Genomic DNA, 19,968 nt, shown 5'->3' with positions numbered 1-19,968 from the left:
GGAGGTCGGGAGTTCGAGACCAGCCTGGCCAACATGGTGAAACCCGTCTCTACTAAAAATACATAAATTAGCCGGGCATGGTGGCACACACCTGTAATCCCAGCTACTCGGGAGGCTGAGGCAGGAGAATTGCTTGAACCTGGGAGGTGGAGGTTGCAGTGAGCCAAGATTGTGCCATTGAACTCCAGCTTTGGGCAACAGAACAAGAATCCATCTCGGGAAAAATAAAAAAGTAGAAAAGATGGGGTCCTGAAAAGTCATCAGCTATCAAAAAGGATCCCTGATAGAAAAAACTTTGGACCTTCTGTGAAAAGACAGTTTGTGGTACATCTCAAGTGAGGTTTATTCCAAACTTCACCCAAGTGGCAGCCACAGGGTCAAACGTATTCACTTCCCAGCATCTTTGGGTTCTCATAACACAGGCCCAGTAAGGACTTATCAAGAATTGGAGGAAATTAGTAATCAATTCAAGCTTAGATGATGCATTCTGGTATTCCAATCCAACCTCAATGCCTTGATTATGCCTACCCAAGATACTGGGAGTTTCTGTACAACACTGACAGACATAAGTAAAACAAACAAAGCGGTTTAAACACTAACAGAAAAGAAGTCTGGGATCCACCCATGATTGAGATGTCACTCCTAGCAAAATGAAAACCTGAAAACCATGTGACAGTCAACATGGGTGGATTCTCTTAGAAACAAGTGTGGATGTTTTACTTGAAAGGAGAAAGCAGCAGAGGAATACATGCTCACACAATTCACTTCCACCACTGTTGGCAAAACTGTGACCCCACCACTGAGAAAGAAGTGAAAGGCACTCCAAAGCAAGGGGGAAAAGGCAACCAAGTCAATACTCCACCTACTCGGATGTGGGACCCGATGTGGGTGGCGGTGACTATGGGGCGCCACGCTGTCCGGTATGGTGTGAAAGTCTAAACCAGTGACAGACAGGTTATCCAGGACACAGACATGCCCTCACATGCCACCCACCTTCCTCTGCTACCACTTTCTGCCAAACTAAGGTACTGAGTTAGGGGACCAAATAAATGACCAAGCCAAGATCACCATAGTAACTGTGAGCATGAAAGTAAAAGATTAAATGAGAGCTCCTGCTCAAATTAAAAATGAGGCCACAGAAGACTAGAGAAAATCCTCTCACATTCAAGTCAATTGTCCATCTCACATATTTCATTTTTACACCCTCAAGAAAGAACTAGGGCAAGGCCTGTCCCAGTACTGGAACCATTGTCCCATTGCTGATGTGTCTGATCTTGTAAATACTGCAGGTTAGAGAGAGTCTGGCTTCACAGGCTTACTATTATTTGAGAGCGTGAGTGGGCAGGGAGGCAGGTGCACTTCATAAACATGTGGAAAGCTGACGGGGTGGACAAGCAAGCCTGGTTCTGACTCAGGTGGATTTCTCAGTAGGGACATAAGCAAGCAACAGGAGCCTTCAGAGAAGCAGATGGTGGAAACATTAAGCAAAGAAGACAGGAATGAAGTACAGGTTGGAAAAATAAAGCACACAGGCTGGGTGCAGTGGCTCACGCCTGTAATCCCAGCACTTTGGGAGGCCGAGGCAGGCGGATTGCTTGAGCTCCGGAGTTCAAGACCAGCCTGGGCAACATGGCAAGATCCCTATCTCTACTAAAAATACAAAAAAAATAGCTCAGTGTGCTTGTGCGTTCCTGTGGTGCCGGCTACTCGGGAGGCTGAGGTGGGTGAACCACTTGAGCCTGGTGGAAGGAGGTTGCAGTTAGCTGAGATTGTGCCACTGCACTCCAGCATGGGTGACACAGCAAGACCCTGTCTCAAAAATAATAATAAATTAAAATAAAACAAATAGTGGTGACTGGACAAAGAAGGGGATAGAGGAAATTCCAGTTCAGTCATCTATCAACTGTGTGACTTTGGGCAAGTTACTCAAATTCTCTGAGACTCAGTTTCTACTCTCACATAATAGGGAAATAATGGCCACCTTGCACACTTACTGTGAAGATCAGAGGTTAGCAAAGTAACTGTACATAAATAGCTCCTAATACCTACTCAACAAACTATATTTAATAGGTTTTTTAAATTTTATTTTATTTTTTTACTTTTTTCAGACAGAATTTCGCTCTTGTTGCCCAAGCCAGAGTGCAATGGCAGGATCTCGGCTCACTTCAACCTCCGCCTCCTGAGTTCAAGCAATTCTCCTGCTTCAGCCTCCCAACTAGCTGGGATTACAGGCACGCAACACCACGCTTGGCTAATTTTTTGTATTTTGGTAGAAACGGGGTTTTACCATGTTAGCCAGGCTGGTCTTGAACTCCTGACCTCAGATGATCCGCCCATCTCAGCCTCCCAAAGTGCTAGGATTACAGGCATGAGCCACTGTGCCTGGCCTTTTTTTTTTTCTTTTTCCCAGTCTTGCTCTGTTGCCTAGGCTAGACTCCAGGGGTGCAATCATGGCTCACTGCAGCCTTGACCTCCCAGGATCAAGCAATCCTCCCACCTCAGCCTCCCCAGTAGCTGGGGCTACAGGTGTGCACCACCACGCCCCACTAATTTTTAAATTTTTTTTGTAGAGACGAGGTCTCACTATGTTGCCCAGGCTGGTTTTGAACTCCTGAGCTCAAGTGATCCTCTTGCCTCAGCCTTGGCCTCCCAAAGTTCTGGGATTACAAGTGTGAGCCCCATGCCCGGCCAGTTAACAGTATTGTTAATGTTGCTTTAATAAGCTATCTAGGCCAGGAGCGGCGGCTCATGCCTGTAATCGCAGCACTTTGGGAGGCCAAGGCGGGCAGATCACCTGAGGTTGGGAGTTTGAGACCAGCTTGACTAACATGGAGAAACCCTGTCTCTACTAAAAATACAAAATTAGCTGGCTGTGGTGGCACAGCGCATGCCTGTAATCCTAGCTACTCGGGAGGCTGAGGCAGGAGAATCACTTGAAACTGGGAGGTGGAGGTTGCAGTGAGCCGGGATCGTGCCATTCCACTCCAGCCGGGGCAACAAGAGCAAAACTCCATCTCAAAAATAAATAAATAAATAAATAAATAAGCCATCTGGGCTGGGCACGGTGGCTCAAGCCTGTAATCCCAGCACTTCGGGAGGCTGAGGCAGGTGGATCACCTGAGGTCAGAAGTTCAAGACCAGCCTGGTCAACATGATGAAACCCCATCTCTACTAAATATACAAAAATTAGCCGGGCATGGTGGTGGGCGCCTGTAATCCCAGCTAGTTAGGAGGCTGAGGCAGGAGAATTGCTTGAACCCAGGAGGTGGAGGTTGCAGTGAGCTGAGATCTTGCCATTCTGCTCCAGCTTGGGCAACAAGAGCAAAACTTCGTCTCAAAAAAAAAAAAAAAAAAAAAAAATATATATATATATATATATATATATAAGCTGTCTAAACAGGGCAGAGGGTACTAATAGACATGAATAAAGTCAGCTTTAGGTCCTCCTCCCTTCCGCCTTAATTACTGAAGCCAAACACTTGATCTCTGTCCAATGTTCCCCATCTGTAAGCTGGTTACATATTCTACTACAGAGGTGCCTCATTCACTCTGGGAAAACAACTTCTATCAAGGAAATAATAACGCAGACTGATTTCATTTACTCTAAGACTGTATATAAAATAGTGTGAAGATGGGAAGATAAATATCTGTATTTAATTGCAAACACATATTACATTGCCCAAATGGGTTAAATGTTATTAGTCATATGACATTTGGAATTCACTTTTATTTCCTATTTACAATCATCATTATTAGTAATAGTTAATAATTATTCATCATACATCTTAGGGCTAATTGTAAGTCCTTAATATGAGACTGTAGAGTATTGCCAAGCAAACGTGAGACAACAAACATTTATTGTTGAAAATGAGTAGACTGGATCCTCAGTGAACGAAACCTCCACACAGTTATCAAGGAAGAGTAGGAGACAAAACAGTTCTAGCTGGGGCTTAAGGGTGCAGCTTTCATTTAAATCTTCAGGACTGCTTTGACAGGTAAAAGACTAGAAAAGGCTGGGCCTCAATGCAATGTGGCTTTGGATGACAAAGAACCAAAGAGAACACACAGCTAGACATGATGTATATCAAAGATAGATAAGTACATCCAGTTATAAGAAACTCAACGTGCACACCTCACTGTCAAGAGGTTTGTTTTCCCTTAATATCTTCATACTAGATATGTGAAACGAAGCAGAGAAAGATCAATTACTACCTCAGCTCCAATAAACTCGCACTAAAATCAGCCAGACCAAAGAGTTCCAGGACTCCTGCCTCAAAGTCAGTCCCATCACCATGGTCATTGACCAATAGGTGCCACACATCATTCCTTAGAGCTGGAGCTTTAACAGGCTTGCTGCCTAGACGTAAACCCCTCCCAGGGCAAGCCAAGATTCAAGACAGCAAGCTTTCCCACAGATAACCTTCTTTATAGTGTCTGTGCTTGTTTCTATTTATCTTTGCATCTGAGTCCTTAAATTTGCCAATTTCACTAATATGCTCTGCCATCTCACTGCCACTTATAAATGTTAAATTCACAGTTTTCTTTAAAGTATAATCACATTCTAATTTGCTCTGCAAAAGGAATATTAATTTCCTCACTGAGTATACAAACGCTTGCATTCATGCTGTCATATTACAAAGGCAGGATTCGGGTAACTTCTTAAGGAGACTTCATAAATTCTTTTAAAAGCTGGAAAAGTCTATCTTTTTGGGAACCCAAACTGACATGTATGCATGAATCTACAATGCTCCACCCAGATGAAGCCATCCACTCCACGAGCTACTCATACTCACCCGTATGGTTTCAGATGCAAAATGCCCTTCTGAGATCATCAGGTTTCCAGTTTCATCCAGCTTAACAATGGCTCCTGAGTTGGCCTGCACTTCAGCTTCAAATGCTTGATGCTTCTGAAGCTTTCCCTGTTGGCGGACCTTGAAGTGAGCCTCAGACGCAACCACACAGCATCAGCATTTTGTCCCCGCTGTTCCCCGTGTTCCTCCCCTCCTCAATCCTGCTCCCTCTAGTTAGGGATACATCATTTGGCACCTTGCCCATTCTCTTACCTGCTCAATTCCTCAAATACTCTGACTGCATTTCTCCTGGTCCTCTGAAAGCCTGGCCAGCGAGGGCCATCAATGGTCCTCACTCACCATTGAGAACTAACATTGTCAATGGAAGATGCTACAAAATATCCTATTAATAATTTTTTGTTTTTGCTATCAGAAAATTAGCCTTTATGTGAACATCCAGTCCCTTCTAGAAATACAGAACCATACCAACAGTTTTCTCAACATTCAGTGCTTACTCTTGAAAAATCCATCCATATTCACTCACACATGAGACTTTCTTTCACTTGCTTTAGAGGCCAGACTCTTTGACCCTGCCTACACTCCATTTCTCAATACCTCTTTTTCATCAAATACTAAGATGGGAAGGGGCCTGCCAGGCAGGGATTGTACCTAAAGCAGTGTTCTTCATTCTCTTCTTAGGTTACTGTAATCAATTTTTTATAGTTAAAAAATCCATGGGCCCAACTACTGTTCCACTTGCTACCGAAACAATTTTCTTTAAAAATCTTTCACTGAAATAAGTGAGAAGAAAGGCTTTCCCTTTTTATAAAAAAAGTTTTGGCCGAGTGCATTGGCTCACGCCTGTAATCCCAGCACTTTGGGAGGCTGAGGCAGGCAGATCACCTGAGGTCAGGAGTTCGAAACCAGCCTGGCAAACATGATGAAATCCTGTTTCTACTAAAGATACAAAAAATTAGCTGGGCGTGGTGTCGCGTGCCTACATTCCCAGCTACTCGGGAGGCTGAGGCAGGAGAATCACTTGAATCTGGGAGGCAGAGGTTGCAGTGAGCTGAGATTGCACCATTGCACTCCAACTTGGGCAATAAGAGCAAAACTCCGTCTCAAAAAAAAAAAAGTTTTAAATATATAATTTACGTACCATAAGATTCAGGCTTTGCTTTTGATAAGATTTACCAAGTCTCTGAAAGGGACTCATAACTTTAAGTACTTATTCTTTGATATCTGACTCCAGAATAACTATAAATTTTTGCCAGCAACATCACTATTATGCCTTCCTCAAAAACTCATTCCAGGCCAGGTGTGGTGGCTCACGCCTGTAATCCCAGCACTTTGGGAGGCCAAGGTGGGTGGATCACCTGAGGTCAGTTCAAGACCAGCCTGGCCAACATGGCAAAACCCTATCTCTACTAAAAATACAAAAATTAGCTGGGCACAGTGGCAGGCGCCTGTAATCCCAGCAACCTGGGAGGCTGAGGCTGGAGAATCACTCGAACCTGGGAGGTGGAGGTTGCAGTAAGCCAAGATCACACCATTGCACTCCAGCCTGGGCGACATGAGCGCAACTCTGCCTCAAAAAACAAAAACAAAACAAAACAAAACAAAAAACCTCATTCCAAGAGATTAACCCAGAACTTCCCTGAAAAATGTTTAAAGCTCACCAGTAGTATCAAGGCAGAGGTTTGAGAACCATCAGTTTAAAGCATCCAGAAAAGACAATTAATACCTCTAAGATTCCACATTCACCCTCACTAATACAGGAAAACAATGAGTTTGTCCTTCCTTATTATATTCTTCTTGTCCAATCTCTCAAGGTCATAATTAAGTAACTTTCCTCGTCTGATTTTTGGGTAAGAACATTTGGGCTCTTGAATTTTGGCAGGAATCCCAGGAGATCAGACGTACCTGCAAGTTGGTTGGGTCTTTATAATTCTCATCAGATGCAATCTGAAGTTTTTCCTGTATCCATTTCTCCAGCTCTTCAGCATCTCTTTGAAAGAACTGGAATCGATAGGAATCTTCCAGCTTCTGACGCCTAAGGGTTGAGAGTTCCTTGAAGCGGTGGTATCGGTCTAGGACCTGCTGCCGCCTCTCCTGGATGTCCTCTGCTGTTTCCAGCACTTTGACCCCACTTGGGTCCATTTTCTGAAATGACAAAATGCGCTGAGATAAGTACCAATAGGCACCAAAATAGATGAAAAGTAATTAGCCTCTCTGAAGGAAAGAAATAATTATCAGATAAACCCAGGAGACAAATGAATTGAGAAGACAGCCCCTTCTTAGGAACAATGAAGCCCAGATCCTATTTCTTTATTAAAAACGGCCATCCATTCCCCTGCAACACCTACCTACATAGGGCCCTCAGAAGATGCCTAACCCACACACGGCAAGGAAACCAAATGAAAACTGTGAATGGGAGAACTATGGTTTGTACTGTCAATTCTACAAAGGCTTCAAGGATTCAGAGGAAACAGCAACTGTGGTATTCAAATAATCACTGCTAAGTCCATTCAGAAGTCCTTTCAAGCAGGGGGTGCGGTGGCGCACACTTGTAATCCCAACACTTTGGGAGGCCAAAGTGGCAGACTGCTTGACTCCAGGAGTTCGAGAGCAGCTGGGCAACAAGGTGAAACACCGTCTCTACTAAAAATACAAAAAAATAGCTGGGCATGGTGGTGTGTGCCTATGGTACCAGCTACTCAGGAGGCTAAGGCAGGAGGATCACCTGAGCCCAGGAGTTCAAGACTGCAGTGAGCCATCATTGCACCACTGCGCTCCGCCCTGGGTGACAAAACAAAACAAAAACCGAAAACAAAGAATATGCCATTTTATCCTCTAACTAATTAAGGAACACAGAAGGAAACAGATACAGATTAACGCCAAAAAGCTTCTGAATTTGTCAGCAACATGTGACCTCACACTAGCCACCTTCCCTCTCCATGCCTCAATTTCCTAAAGTGACTAAAAATGTCAGGAAAAACGACGTGCTCTCAAGTCTCTTCGAACTTCAAAATTACAGCCTATAGAGAGGTTTTTGAGTTCACTAAGGAAGCAGAACAGATAAGCCTGCTGGTCCCTTCCAGCTATTGTTCTACAATGTATAATAAAAGGTATAAAATTGTGTTACCCTGGAAACATCTGGGAGTTCTTTCCTTTATCCTGTCGTCTATCCCAAGACAGAAAGAAAAGGGTGAGTAGGCTAAGAGTTAGGAATGAAACCTGTCAAGAGTGCTGCCCCACATCCACCTAGCAGGTAAACAGAAGGAGATGGCTGATGTCAGAGTTTCTAGCTAGTGCCCCAGCTCTGTAGGGATTCAAGCAGTTCTCATTGGTGGTAGGAAGGCACTGTCTGTGCCTGATCAGATCTGAAGATTGCCTTTCTAAGAGACCACCTTCCTGGAGAAGTGTAGATGAGCTGATTTTAGTCATATCACCATTCCTTTAAATTATTCTCCACATATCAACCATGTATTTTTGTTGTATTATTGTTTTTCCACAGTCCAAAATGTTTTATACTATAAAAGGAAACATTCTTCGCCATGCCACTCCCAAATCTTTTATGGCTTTTTTTTGTTTTTTGTTTGAGACGGAGTCTCGCTCAGTCACCAGGCTGGAGTGCAATGGCATGATCTCAGCTCACTGCCCTCTGCCTTCAGGGTTCAAGTGATTCTCCTGCCTCAGCCTCCCGAGTAGCGGGGACTACAGGCCTGCACCACCACGCCCAGCTAATTTTTGTATTTTTCGTAGAGATGGGGTTTCACCATGTTGGCCAGGATGGTCTCGATCTCTTGACCTCGTGATCTGCCTGCCTCAGCCTCCCAAAGGGCTGGAATTACAGGTGTGAGCCACTGCCCCCGACCTATGGCTTCCTTCAGACAGAAGAAAGAACCCACCTCTTGAGCAGGACCTTCACAATCTGGCCCAACATGCCTGCCTGGTATTATCTCTCACCCGTGACCCCTACCCTTGTGGCGGATAGAAGTATTCTTTCTGCTCTAAAATGTGTAATTCCCTTTAAAACTCCAAGCCATGTGCACATGCTTCCTTTGTTTAGAATGTCCTATGACTCTTCTTTGCCTAGATAGCGCTTATTTATTTATATCTCAACACCCAGCTGAAATGGGTAAACTGCAGGATCCTGACTCTTTACTAAACTGTACCCAATGTTCCTTCCTTCCCTCCTTCTCAGACGTAATCACACTTCTCTATAGATTTGCAAAGCAATTGTACATACATCCTAAGGTATGATTACACCGAGCAACCTAATATTTGTATACCAGATTTTTATTTATTTATTTATTTGTTTTTGAGACAGGACCTTATTTTGCTGCCCAGGCTGGAGTGCAGTCACGGCTCACTGCAACCTCGACCTCCCTGGTTCAAGTGATGCTTCCACCTCAGCCTCCCACTTGCTGTGACTATGGGTGCACACCACCATGACTGGCTAATTTTTTTTTTTTTTCTGAGAAGGACTCTTGCTCTGTCACCCAGGCTAGAGTGCAGTGGCATGATCTTGGCTCATTGAAACCTCTGCATCCCGGGTTCAAGCAATTCTCCTGCCTCAGCCTCCCAAGTAGCTGGGATTACAGGCGCCCATCATGGTGCCTAGCTAATTTTTGTATTTTTAGTAGAGACGGGGTTTCACCATGTTGGCCAGGCTGGTCTCGAACTCCTGACCTCGTGATCCACCCGCCTTGGCCTCCCAAAGTGCTAAGATTACAGGCGTGAGCCACCACGCACAGCCATGACTGGCTAATTTTTAAATTTTTTTTGTAGAGACAGGGTTTTGATAGGTTGCCTAGGCTGGTCTTGAACTCCTGGGCTCAAATGATCCTCCCACCTCCGGTCTTCCAAAGTGCTAAGATTACAGGTGTAAGCCACCATGTCCGGTCCTGTATCCCTGATTTCTAGCATACAGAGGTCATCAAGAAATGTTGGTTGAATAGGCCGGGCGCCATGGCTCACATCTGCAATCCCAGCACTTTGGGAGGCTGAGGTGGGCGGATTGCTTGAGCCCAGAAGTTCGAGAACAGCCTAGGTAATATGGCTAAACCCTGGCTCTAAAAAAAAAATTATCCAGGCATGGTGGCATGCGCCCGTAGTCACACTACTGTACTCCAGCCTGGGTGACACAATGAGACCCTGTCTCAAAAAAAAAAAAAAAAAAGAAATGGTTGAATAAATGATCAAGTCCATGCTGAATGTTGCAGATGCTGTGCAGCAGACCTGAATTCATTTGTAAGGGGTAGGGAGAGAGCTCCATAACGAATCTTTCAGTTTGCATATTGTAAAATTGGAATTCTATCCAGTTAAGTGCTAGACTGATGACAAGAATGGCAAATAAAGAATGTGCTGACTAAAGCTACACAACTAGGTGTCAACCTAATGACTAAATCTGAATTACCAATCTTGGATTGACCACATGGCAGTATACTCTGAGAAAGTGGCGTTTTTTTGTTTTTTGTTTTTTGGCAGGGTCTCACTCTGTTGCCCAGGCTAGAGTGCAGTGATACGATCTCAACTCACTGCAACCTTGCCTCCTGGGCTCCAGCGATCCTCCCGCCTCAGCCTCCTGAGTAGCTAGGAGTACAGGCAGGTGCCAGCACACCTGGATAATTTTTATATTTTTTGTACAGGTGTGGTTTCACCATGTTGCCCAGGCTAGTCTCGAACTCCTGGACTCAAGTGATACACATGCCTCAGTCTCCCAAAGTGCTGGGATTACAAGCATGAGCCACTGCACTGGCCTATTTTCTATTCTTAAAACAGACGTCAAGTCCTTAAAACCAAAAACTGGGAGTGACCTTGAAAAGCTTAATGTCTGCTCAGAGCAGTTTTTGTAATAAAATATATACATATATATATATATATATATATATATATATATATACACATACATGTATATATATATTTTTTTTTAGACGGAGTCTCACTCTGTCGCCCAGGCTGGAGTGCAGTGGCGTGATCTCGGCTCACTGCAAGCTCCACCTCCTGGGTTCACGCCATTCTCCTGCCTCAGCCTCCTGAGTAGCTGGGACCACAGGCGCCTGCCATCACGCCCGGCTAATATTTTCTATTTTTTAGTAGAGATGGCGTTTCACCGTGCTAGCCAGGATGGTCTCGATCTCCTGACCTCGTGATCCGCCCACCTTGGCCTCCCAAAGTTTTGTAATATTTAATGATAACAGGCAGTCATAGTTTACACTGCTGCCCTAAGTCTGTCAGCCTATTTTGGAGAAGGCTGATTTCTGATGAGGACCCTGACAAGGATCACTATAATCACATTTACTACAAGGTAAACAAGACTTCACTCAGTCACCTTCCAGTTGTCTCCTCCAGCCGTATCTCATGTCAAGCTCCCTCACCAACACCAATTACAGGTCCTGGACAGGGTCCATTTGAAAGCTCAAAAAGTTCCCTTTCCCAGGAGTGCACTCTCCTCTCCCACTCCCAACCCTACCATCTAATATCATACAGATCTCGGCTGGGCGCGGTGGCTCACGCCTGTAATCCCAGCACTTTGGGAAGCCGAGGCAGGTGGATCACAAGGTCATGAGCTCCAGACCAGCCTGGCCAACATGGTGAAACCACATCTCTACTAAAAATACAAAAATTAGCCGGGTGTGGTGGCACGCGCCTGTAGCCCCAGCTACTCGGGAGGCTGAGGCAGAAGAATCGCTTGAACCTGAGAGGCGGAGGTTGTGATGAGCCCAGATCGCGTCACTGCACTCCAGCCTGTCAAAAAAATAAAAAATATAAAAAACAAATCATACAGATCTCTGAGTCCAAAGCAAATGCCTCGTCCTCTATGAAGTCTTTCTGAATCAGAAGTCTCCACTCCCTGACCACCCACCTCTATCATTCATCTTATAACACTGCCACATTCTGCCATGAAATTATTGTGTTCTCCCTACCACATTCATAAGTCCTTTAAGGAACTCTAAAGAAGACCATATTTTACTCTTACTCTCTGGGCACAGAACTCAGGACTTGGCACATATTATAGATCCAATTATATTCAGAGCTTGGAAATAAAGAAACTGCCATCGTTTTATAATTAAGTAGTTGGGAGACAGGTAATTTAGTAAGCAAGTTGCAAAGGCCAGGATGACCTGGGATCCTCCGGTTCCCAGAATATGGCACAATAGACACAGTGATTCTTAACATGATTAGAGTTGACATATTGACATATTCTTTTTTTTTTTTTTTTTTTTTTTTTTGAGACGGAGTCTCGCTCTGTTGCCCAGGCTGGAGTGCAGTGGTGCAATTTCGGCTCACTGCAAGCTCCGCCTCCCCGGTTCATGCCATTCTCCTGCCTCAGCCTCCCGACTAGCTGGGACTACAAGCATCCACCACCTCGCCCGGCTAATTTTTTGTATTTTTAGCAGAGATGGGGTTTCACCATATTAGCCAGGATGGTCTCGATCTCTTGACCTCGTGATCTGCCTGCCTCGGCCTCCAAAAGAGCTGGGATTACAGGCGTGAGCCACCGCGCCTGGCCTTTTTTTTTTTGAGATGGAGTCTTGCTCTGTCGCCAGGCTGGATTGCAGTGGTGCGATCTTGACTCACTGCAACCTCCGCCTCCAGGGTCAAGCAATTCTCCTGCCTCAGCCTCCCGAGTAGCTGGGACTACAATCACAAACCACCACGCCCAGCTAATTTTTGTATTTCTCTTCTTTTTAAGAGACAGGCTTTCACTATGTTGGCCAGGATGATCTTGATCTCGACCTTGTGGTCCGCCCGCCTCGGCCTCCCAAAGTGCTGGGATTACAGGCGTGAACCACCGTGCCTGGCCGACATATTATTTATTGATGGCTGTTTGGTTATTTATTAGTTCCTTTCACTTCTTTTTTTTTTTTTTTTTTTTGAGATGGGGTCTTGCTCTGTTGCCCAGGCTGGAGTGCAGTGATGCTATCTGGGTTCACAGCAACATCCGCCTCCCAGGTTCAAGTGACTCTCCTGCCTCAGCCTCCCCAGTAGCTGGGATTACAGGCACCCGCCACCACACGCGACTAATTTTTGTACTTTTGTAGAGATTGGGTTTCACCATATTGGCCAGACTGGTCTCGAACTGACCTCAGGTGATCCACCCACCTCAGCCTCCCAAAGTGCTGGGATTACAGACGTGAGCCACAGCACCCGGCCTTCACTCCCTCTTTATTAGTTCCTTTTCACATCTGCACTTTGGAGTGAAAAAACAGTGAGGCAGACACAGTGGCTCACACCTGTAATCCCAATACTTTGGGAGGCGAGGCGGGCAGATCACCTGAGGTCAGGAGTTTGAGAACAGCCTGGCCAACGTGATAAAATTCTGTCTCTACTAAAAATACCAAAATTAGCTGGGTGTGGTGGCACATGCCTGTAGTCCCATCTACTCAGGAGGCTGGGGCTGGAGAATCCCTTGAGCCTGGGAGGCGGAGTTTGCAGTGAGCTGAGATCAAGCCCCTGCACTCCAGCCTGGGTGACAGAGCTAGACTCCGTGTCAAAAAAAAAAAAAAAAGGCGGGCACGGTGGCTTACACCTGTAATCCTAGCATTTTGGAAGGCTGAAGGGGGTGGATTGCCTTAGCTCAGGAGTTCGAGACAAGCCTGGGCAACACGGTGGAACCTCGTCTCTATTAAAATACAAAAAATTAGCCAGGTGTGGCGGCGTGCGCCTGTAATCCCAGCTACTTGGGAGGCTGAGGCAGGAGAATTGCCAGAACCCGGGAGGCTGAGGTTGCAGTGAGCCAAGATCACGCCTTTGCACTCCAGCCTGGGCGACAGAGCGAGACTCTGTCTCTTAAAAAAAAAAAAAAAGGTGAGGTGGATGTGGATGTATTAATCATTTCTTAAAAATCAAAATTATCGGCCAGGCAGGGTGGCTCACACCTGTAATCCCAGCACTTTGGGAGGCCAAGGCGGGTGGATCACCTGAGGTCAGGAGTTTGAAACCAGCCTGGCCAACATGGTGAAACCCCATCTCTACTAACAATACAAAAAGTAGCCAAGCATAGTGGCGCACGCCTGTAGTCCCAGCTACCTGGGAGGCTGAGACAGGAGAATCGCTTGAACCCGGGAGGCAGAGGTTGCAGTGAGCCAAGATCGCACCACTGCACTCTAGCCTGGGCGACGAAAAAGCAAGAGTCCGTCTCAAAAAAAAAAAAAATCAAAATTATTTAAGATTGAGTCTTGGTAAACAATTAGGGTTAGACTTATTTATTTATATATTTCCTTTGTTCTCAACCCTCAGGAAACAGTTAAGATGGAAAAACATTGAGAAATTATGCATCTAATTTGTTTGCTTCCAAAATTTTCTTGTAAAGAAATTTTCCAAGGAAGGCATAGTTACACATGGAACAATAACGACACTGCACACGAGCTCCTGAAAGAGATGGCAGTCTCCAGGATTCGAGTGTATGGTGCTGTTCTGCCTCCTATCACAGGAGTCACTGCATTTCTAAAATCCTTTACCTGCTACAGAAATTAAATCACATTTGGGAACAGCCCTTTATGATAAGAAAATCTCCATCATAATATCGCAAAGGTTCCATCTGAGCAAGTCCCCCTGCTTGGGCCCAGCTTGCTGATTTGATCCTGCCAATCCAGAGAGACAGTTCAGCAAGGCCCTGCTGAAATTAACCAACCTAAAAGGCCCTCTTTGTCACCCCAGTGAAGTAGAACGAGTCAATTCTATACCAAGTGCTTTGGTCAGGCAATAATGGACTTTTCTTTCCTGCAGTAGATCAGCTGACGTCAGTAGGTGGGAGGTCTGCCAAGCCACAACAGGCTGTCTCTGGGGAGCTGGGTATCTGAAAGTCACCAATGTGCTCCCACTGCAGTCAGCATTCAGAATTTTCATTTGTGCAATTACAGGAGACACCAAAAAACATTATGGGTTAGTGAGAGTTTCCCCCCTCTTAACCTGACAGGGAGCTGTCTCTTGTTTATCTACACGAGTTCCAGTTTCTTTTTGCTCCTAAAAGGGTCATTTCTGCAGACTACATTAAACACAGGAAAATTCTCATAAATATCATTAAGAATTCCTGCCATCCAAAGGTGCTACAGCCTCTCACCCGAAACTGTCAGTTACTGAAATGTCAGCTCAGCTCGGCCTGGGCGTGCCACATTCCTTCCACAACCGAGGCTGCATGCTGCAAGCACCCCACCCCTTCCCTGGCATATGCAGCAGACTGATAAGGCCGACTTCACAGAGAACGTTCCAGGCTGTTCCCAGCCATATGGGATTAACGCCTTTTGAGAGCACCAGAAAGGAAAAATCTGGGAAACGTGCCATTAAAAAACAAACTCCAATCTTACCAGCCTATCTATCAGTTCCACTAACTGCCTAAAAACCACAACAGAGACGACTTCCTAGGAATGCAATCAACTGACTGCTTATCTCAAAGGAGCCAACTGTCTCTGATTTTGCCAATCAAGTCTGTTCACATAGAGACTGAAGGAGGGGAAATGAAGTGCTAAGTATATTCTCTATATGTTTAAGGACAACTTCCCATTTAAGGTAACTTAAAAAAAAAGGTATATATTTGCAAAATATTATTAGAGGAGACTGAAGACGTAGGCTATTTATAAATGCTGCAACGCAGCAGTCAAACGTTAGCTGCATCATTCAGCAAGTAATGCGAATCTCAGGGGGATAAAGCAGGAATTACAACTATGTCCTCTATTGTAATAAATAAAATGAATAAAATGAACTTGTCAGCATTCTTACAATACTACCAGATCTCGGAAGAAGAGTGGGGTCTGAATATATGAATCTTGGCTAGAAATTTCTAATATACAGCTGGGCGCGGTGGCTCACGCCTGTAATCCCAGCACTTTGGGAGGCTGAGGCAGATGGATCACGAGGTCAGGAGATTGAGACCATCCTGGCTAACACGGTGAAACCCCGTCTCTACTAAAAATACAAAAAATTAGCCGGGCGTGGTGGCGGGCACCTGTAGTCCCAGCTATTCGGGAGGCTGAGGCAGGAGAATGGCGTGAACCTGGGAGGCGGAGCTTGCAGTGAGCCGAGATCGCGCCACTGCACTCCAGCCTGGGCGACAGAGCGAGACTCCGTCTCAAAAAAAAAAAAAAAAAAAAAAGAAATTTCTAATTTAATCCAAAGATACAGCATGCTTCAGAATGATCCAGGATATCAAACACAAACTTATACACAGTATCAACTGAAAATGGATTCCTACAAAATAGATTAGACATGAATATCTTTGTCTTATTGATGAACGCCAAGAGACAGCTGTTTGAGGCAGTTCTTGGTATTTGGGGAATTTTCATTCCCCAAATAAAAATTTGGGGGTATTTGGGGGCATAAAATTTGGGAGTATAAAAATAAAAAAAATTGGGGGGTATTTATGGGATATATAGCTCTATCTTCTTGTACAGGCAGAGGCAGTGGGTGGGAATCCCACTGCGTTAAGCAACACAAAAGACTGCAGATACAAACATTTTCGAACCAAAGGTCAAATGCTCTGGACTCTGTAAACCTGGCACCTGCAGTGAGTGCAGTCAGTTTCTCTATGGAATCCCAAAAGAGAGAAAAAAATTATAGTGAAGCTGAAAGGAGTCTCTATTAAAAACAAAGCATTGGGATTGCCATTCTTTCAGCAAGTTGAATGCACTGGATGTAAGAGACATTTGGAATACTACAAAATGAATTCTGATTCTCAGGCAGGACACCACTAGACATACAGTTTTGCAAGAAAGGGATTTTTAGGGACTAACAGGATGAACGGGTCGTTTGGTCATTTGGTTATGGAAAAATTCATAAACATCACCCAAAGCAAAAGATCATAGAAACCATTCATCAGTTGCTTTTGTTGCTTAGTCAGAACCCAAATGTGCAGAACCAACAATGTCTTTTTTCCGTGGCTTAGGATGCCAGCCTATTACCAAATTTCAGATTTGCAAAGCAAGAGAACTATATCCATGGATGTGGAAGGGCTTCCCTAAGAACAAACCACCAAAGAATTGATTAGCACTCATAAAATTGTATACCAGTTGATTCTCAGATCAAACAAAATTAACTCAAAACCAGCTTAGCTGCAGATTTTAGTGGCAGATTTGATGGTAAGCAGAGAGGTCAATAATACATAAAGGATGACTGAACACCATAAATAAAAACAACAAATATTTTTGCTTAAACCACATTCCAATCAGGATTGTGGATCAGCATGTCAGCCTTCAAACTGATTAATTCATTTCAACTTGTTAGCGCAATTTTGCAGAGGTGAGCAGGGACTTAGCTTTAAGAAAGCAAAAGATTCATACTGCATTGCATCAAAATCCAGAAATGCAGAGCAATATTGAGAAAACTTACTTCTGATTGCTTCCCAAATACTATCTTGCTGCTACTTACCTTTTAACCTGCAAAATTCAGATGAGAGGTATTTAAGTTCCTTATTGTTACTATGACTCAAAACAGGAAATGGTTATAATGTGGCCCATTTTTATAAACCTCATTTAAGTAAATAACTCATCTGATTTATAAAAAGGCCTGCCTTGGATTTATCACCTATAAACACTAGAAATTTCCAATGTTTATATTTTTTATTTTGGGATATCAAGATACTAAATTTTTTTTTTGTGAAAAAGGTCCGACTTAGAAAACAAAGACTGTACACAAAGAAAACATATAAAGAGAGCTGTTTTTTAATTTTTTTTTTTGAGACAGAGTCTCGCACTGTCACCTGGGCTGGAGTGCAATGGTGCAATCTCGGCTCATTGCAACCTCCAACTCCTCGGTTAAAGCGATTCTCCTGCCTCAGCTTCCCAAGTAGCTGGGATTACAGGGGCCCACCACAACACCCGGCTAATTTTTTGTATTTTTAGTAGAGATGGGGTTTCACTATGTTGGCCAGGCTGGTCTTGAACTCCTGACCAAGTGATCCACCCACCTTAGCCTCCCAAAGCGCTGGGATTACAGGCATGAGCCACCGCACCCAGCCCGAGAGCTATTTTTTAAACATGAAAAGGTAAGCTCTATTATAGAAATTGTGGTGGAAGAAGTCAATGCAACAGGAAACAAACCCAAGTTTACAATATTTGTCAAATTTTAAAAACACAATTTTTACTATGTATTTTCAGATTATTTTCTCCAAATATCTAGGATAATATGTTTAGTCCCTTGGTTCTTAAAAACCAAGTAGCCACCAATAAAAAGTCAGCAAACACTACATGCAAACACCAGAATGGTGGTAAGAAATTAATATATTCATGCCTTAAAGAGAAAGAGAGGGAGGTTAAAAAAAAAAAAAAAAAAAAAAAGGCTTTGCAAATTTTCAAGTAAATTTACTAATACTTCTGATAATTTAACACCAAAAAACCCCAAACAAATCCTAACCAATTTGTTTAACAGAAACGTCATGCAGGCAGGGTTTTTTTCCCCCTTTCTTTGGATCATTCAACCTCTTTGACACGAATATGCCTTCACTGCAAGCCAGGCAAAACCAAAAAGGCAACCCGTTTTCTGCATGCTCGTCAAATACCTGGACTCTGCGTTTACGAAACGATGACAACATGATGGAGGAATGTGGAGTCTAAAGAGGGAGGGGGAAGAGCAAGATAACAAGCTTCTAAGGGCAAACGGAACAAAATCATGAAGAAAACAGATTATTTAAAAAATATGAATACAGATTAAAAATCCAATTTCAGATATTTTTTCAGTGTCTTCTCTCTGACATTCTGTATAGCGTCTAAATCCCACAAGGGATTTAAAATGTGGAAGGAGAACCAAGGTTCCCAGGTCTTGGCAGTTACTTTCTAGATATGCTGCCCTGGTCAAGTCTCATTCTCCTTGGGGCCTCAATTTCCCCACTTGTTAAAGTAATAATACCGAATATACTTTTTCAAACTAAACATGCCTTCCTCCTGAGGATCCCAGGACAAGATGATTCCTAAATCCCCTTCCATTCAGCAATAAAAGAGCATGACTTCATGAAATTGCCACAAAGTAGAACTCAAGCCACAAAGATCTGACTTGGGCCTAGTTTGCCAGTACACTTACTTTACAAAATACTATTTCCTGTTCAAAATTGGTACAAGAGGAATATGCAAAAAAGGTGGAAGAGAGGTGATGGTTTGCAGCACAGCTGCTCCAGTCAAGTGGCCCCCAGTGATGAGCTATGCAGTCCTCCTCCTCCTCCGCATTCCTGGAGTCAGCATTTGCCACTAGGGCGTTGCATTCTTCTACAGTACAGCCGCAGCTGATATGCTGCAACAGATGAGTGCGTAACTAGTGGGATCCCTGCATAGCCCACGGAGGACTGATTACAAAGGCAGGCCAGCCTTGAACACACTTGTCCATTCTTAGTGTAGATTCAGCAGTGACAGGACATGGGGGACTATTCCTGAGATCCACTTTTCAGGATCTGCAGTTGACCCCCAACTTTGGATGAAGGCAGGTAAGAAAAAGCAGAAAAAATTCTAACCCAGGGAACCAAAAGACATACTTAAAACAGCTCTCCCCATGTGCACCTCTTCATCATATTGCTTGACAGGCTTACACTGCAGCCTGTGACATACCAGATTTCTCCAATTATTAGATGACTACAAAACACACTGCCAAGACCAAAGCATATCAGAGAATCAGTTACTAGGCTGATGGTTTGCCATAAGAACTGCTTCACACTTGTCCAGGATGAAGCAAAAATCCTCCTTTCCAGTCTCTCCATCAAGGTCCCTGGATAACAGTTAACACACTTTGAGGGTCCCTTTGAGTAATTATTGGCCCAGTTACTAAAAAAGGCTTATTGTTAATTTCCTGCACAGAGGCCTTTACTGCAGCACTTTTTTTTTCCTCCGCAGCACATTCAATTTGACCTTTCAAAATCTAAGACATTAGTTAGCTGCAATGAAAGGGAAAATAAACGACTAGTTAAGGAGTCGGAACCTTGACTCAATGGCTTCATATAGCTGAGTGTTCCTCCTGCTATTTCCAAGATTTTCTGTTTCCTGGCTCCAAGACACCCCCACCCTTCCATCTTTGATACATTCTGTTTTACTTAAGGCCAATTGCTATGACGACGCAATTTCTCAACACATTATGAAAATACTTCATATGGCCTCTCTCCTGTTCTTCCCGAACAGCCATGATGGTAAGTTTTTCTAAAATAACATGATGAAGACAGAACAAAGGGCTTAAATATTTTAGGATCTATTATATA

At 44.0% G+C, this 19,968-nt stretch overlaps 1 protein-coding gene across 29 annotated transcripts in view, besides 3 other annotated features; it reads right to left on the bottom strand.

The window, feature by feature from the left end:
- SPTAN1 (spectrin alpha, non-erythrocytic 1) overlaps positions 1 to 19,968 on the bottom strand; it is an 81,076-nt gene that overhangs the window by 59,972 nt on the left and 1,136 nt on the right. For 15 of the 29 annotated variants that reach the window (NM_001375311.2, NM_001375314.2, NM_001375310.1 and 12 more), the window contains exons 2-3: positions 6,714 to 6,953; positions 4,794 to 4,919 (exon numbers count right to left, since the gene is read on the bottom strand). In NM_001375311.2, the coding sequence (NP_001362240.1) occupies positions 4,794 to 4,919; positions 6,714 to 6,950 (363 nt within the window). In that variant the 5' untranslated portion in view covers positions 6,951 to 6,953. Of the gene's footprint in view, positions 1 to 4,793; positions 4,920 to 6,713; positions 6,954 to 18,291; positions 18,343 to 19,968 lie in introns of all 29 variants that reach the window. The other 14 variants (NM_001375318.1, NM_001375312.2, XM_047423783.1 and 11 more) reach the window with 1 other exon arrangement.
- Positions 14,755 to 14,814: an enhancer, noted in NCBI's record as "active region_29085". NCBI's record gives its function as "activates an Ori minimal core promoter by ATAC-STARR-seq in GM12878 lymphoblastoid cells {active_cell/tissue: GM12878}" and the evidence as "EXISTENCE:reporter gene assay evidence [ECO:0000049][PMID:35858748]".
- Positions 18,156 to 18,655: an enhancer, noted in NCBI's record as "NANOG-H3K27ac hESC enhancer chr9:131317315-131317814 (GRCh37/hg19 assembly coordinates)". NCBI's record gives its function as "activates a minimal SCP1, AML or CMV promoter by ChIP-STARR-seq in naive H9 embryonic stem cells {active_cell/tissue: H9 hESC(naive)}" and the evidence as "EXISTENCE:reporter gene assay evidence [ECO:0000049][PMID:30033119]".
- Positions 18,847 to 19,141: a silencer, noted in NCBI's record as "tiled region #290; HepG2 Repressive DNase unmatched - State 1:Tss, and K562 Repressive DNase unmatched - State 25:Art". NCBI's record gives its function as "represses a minimal TATA promoter and a strong SV40 promoter by Sharpr-MPRA in HepG2 and K562 cells {active_cell/tissue: HepG2 | K562}" and the evidence as "EXISTENCE:reporter gene assay evidence [ECO:0000049][PMID:27701403]".

The sequence above is a fragment of the Homo sapiens genome, chromosome 9 (genome assembly GCF_000001405.40).
Source record: "Homo sapiens chromosome 9, GRCh38.p14 Primary Assembly".
NCBI classification, from domain to species: Eukaryota; Metazoa; Chordata; class Mammalia; order Primates; family Hominidae; genus Homo; species Homo sapiens.
The sequence above is the reverse complement of the archived record's forward strand: the minus strand, read 5'-3'. Positions and strand labels throughout refer to the sequence as shown.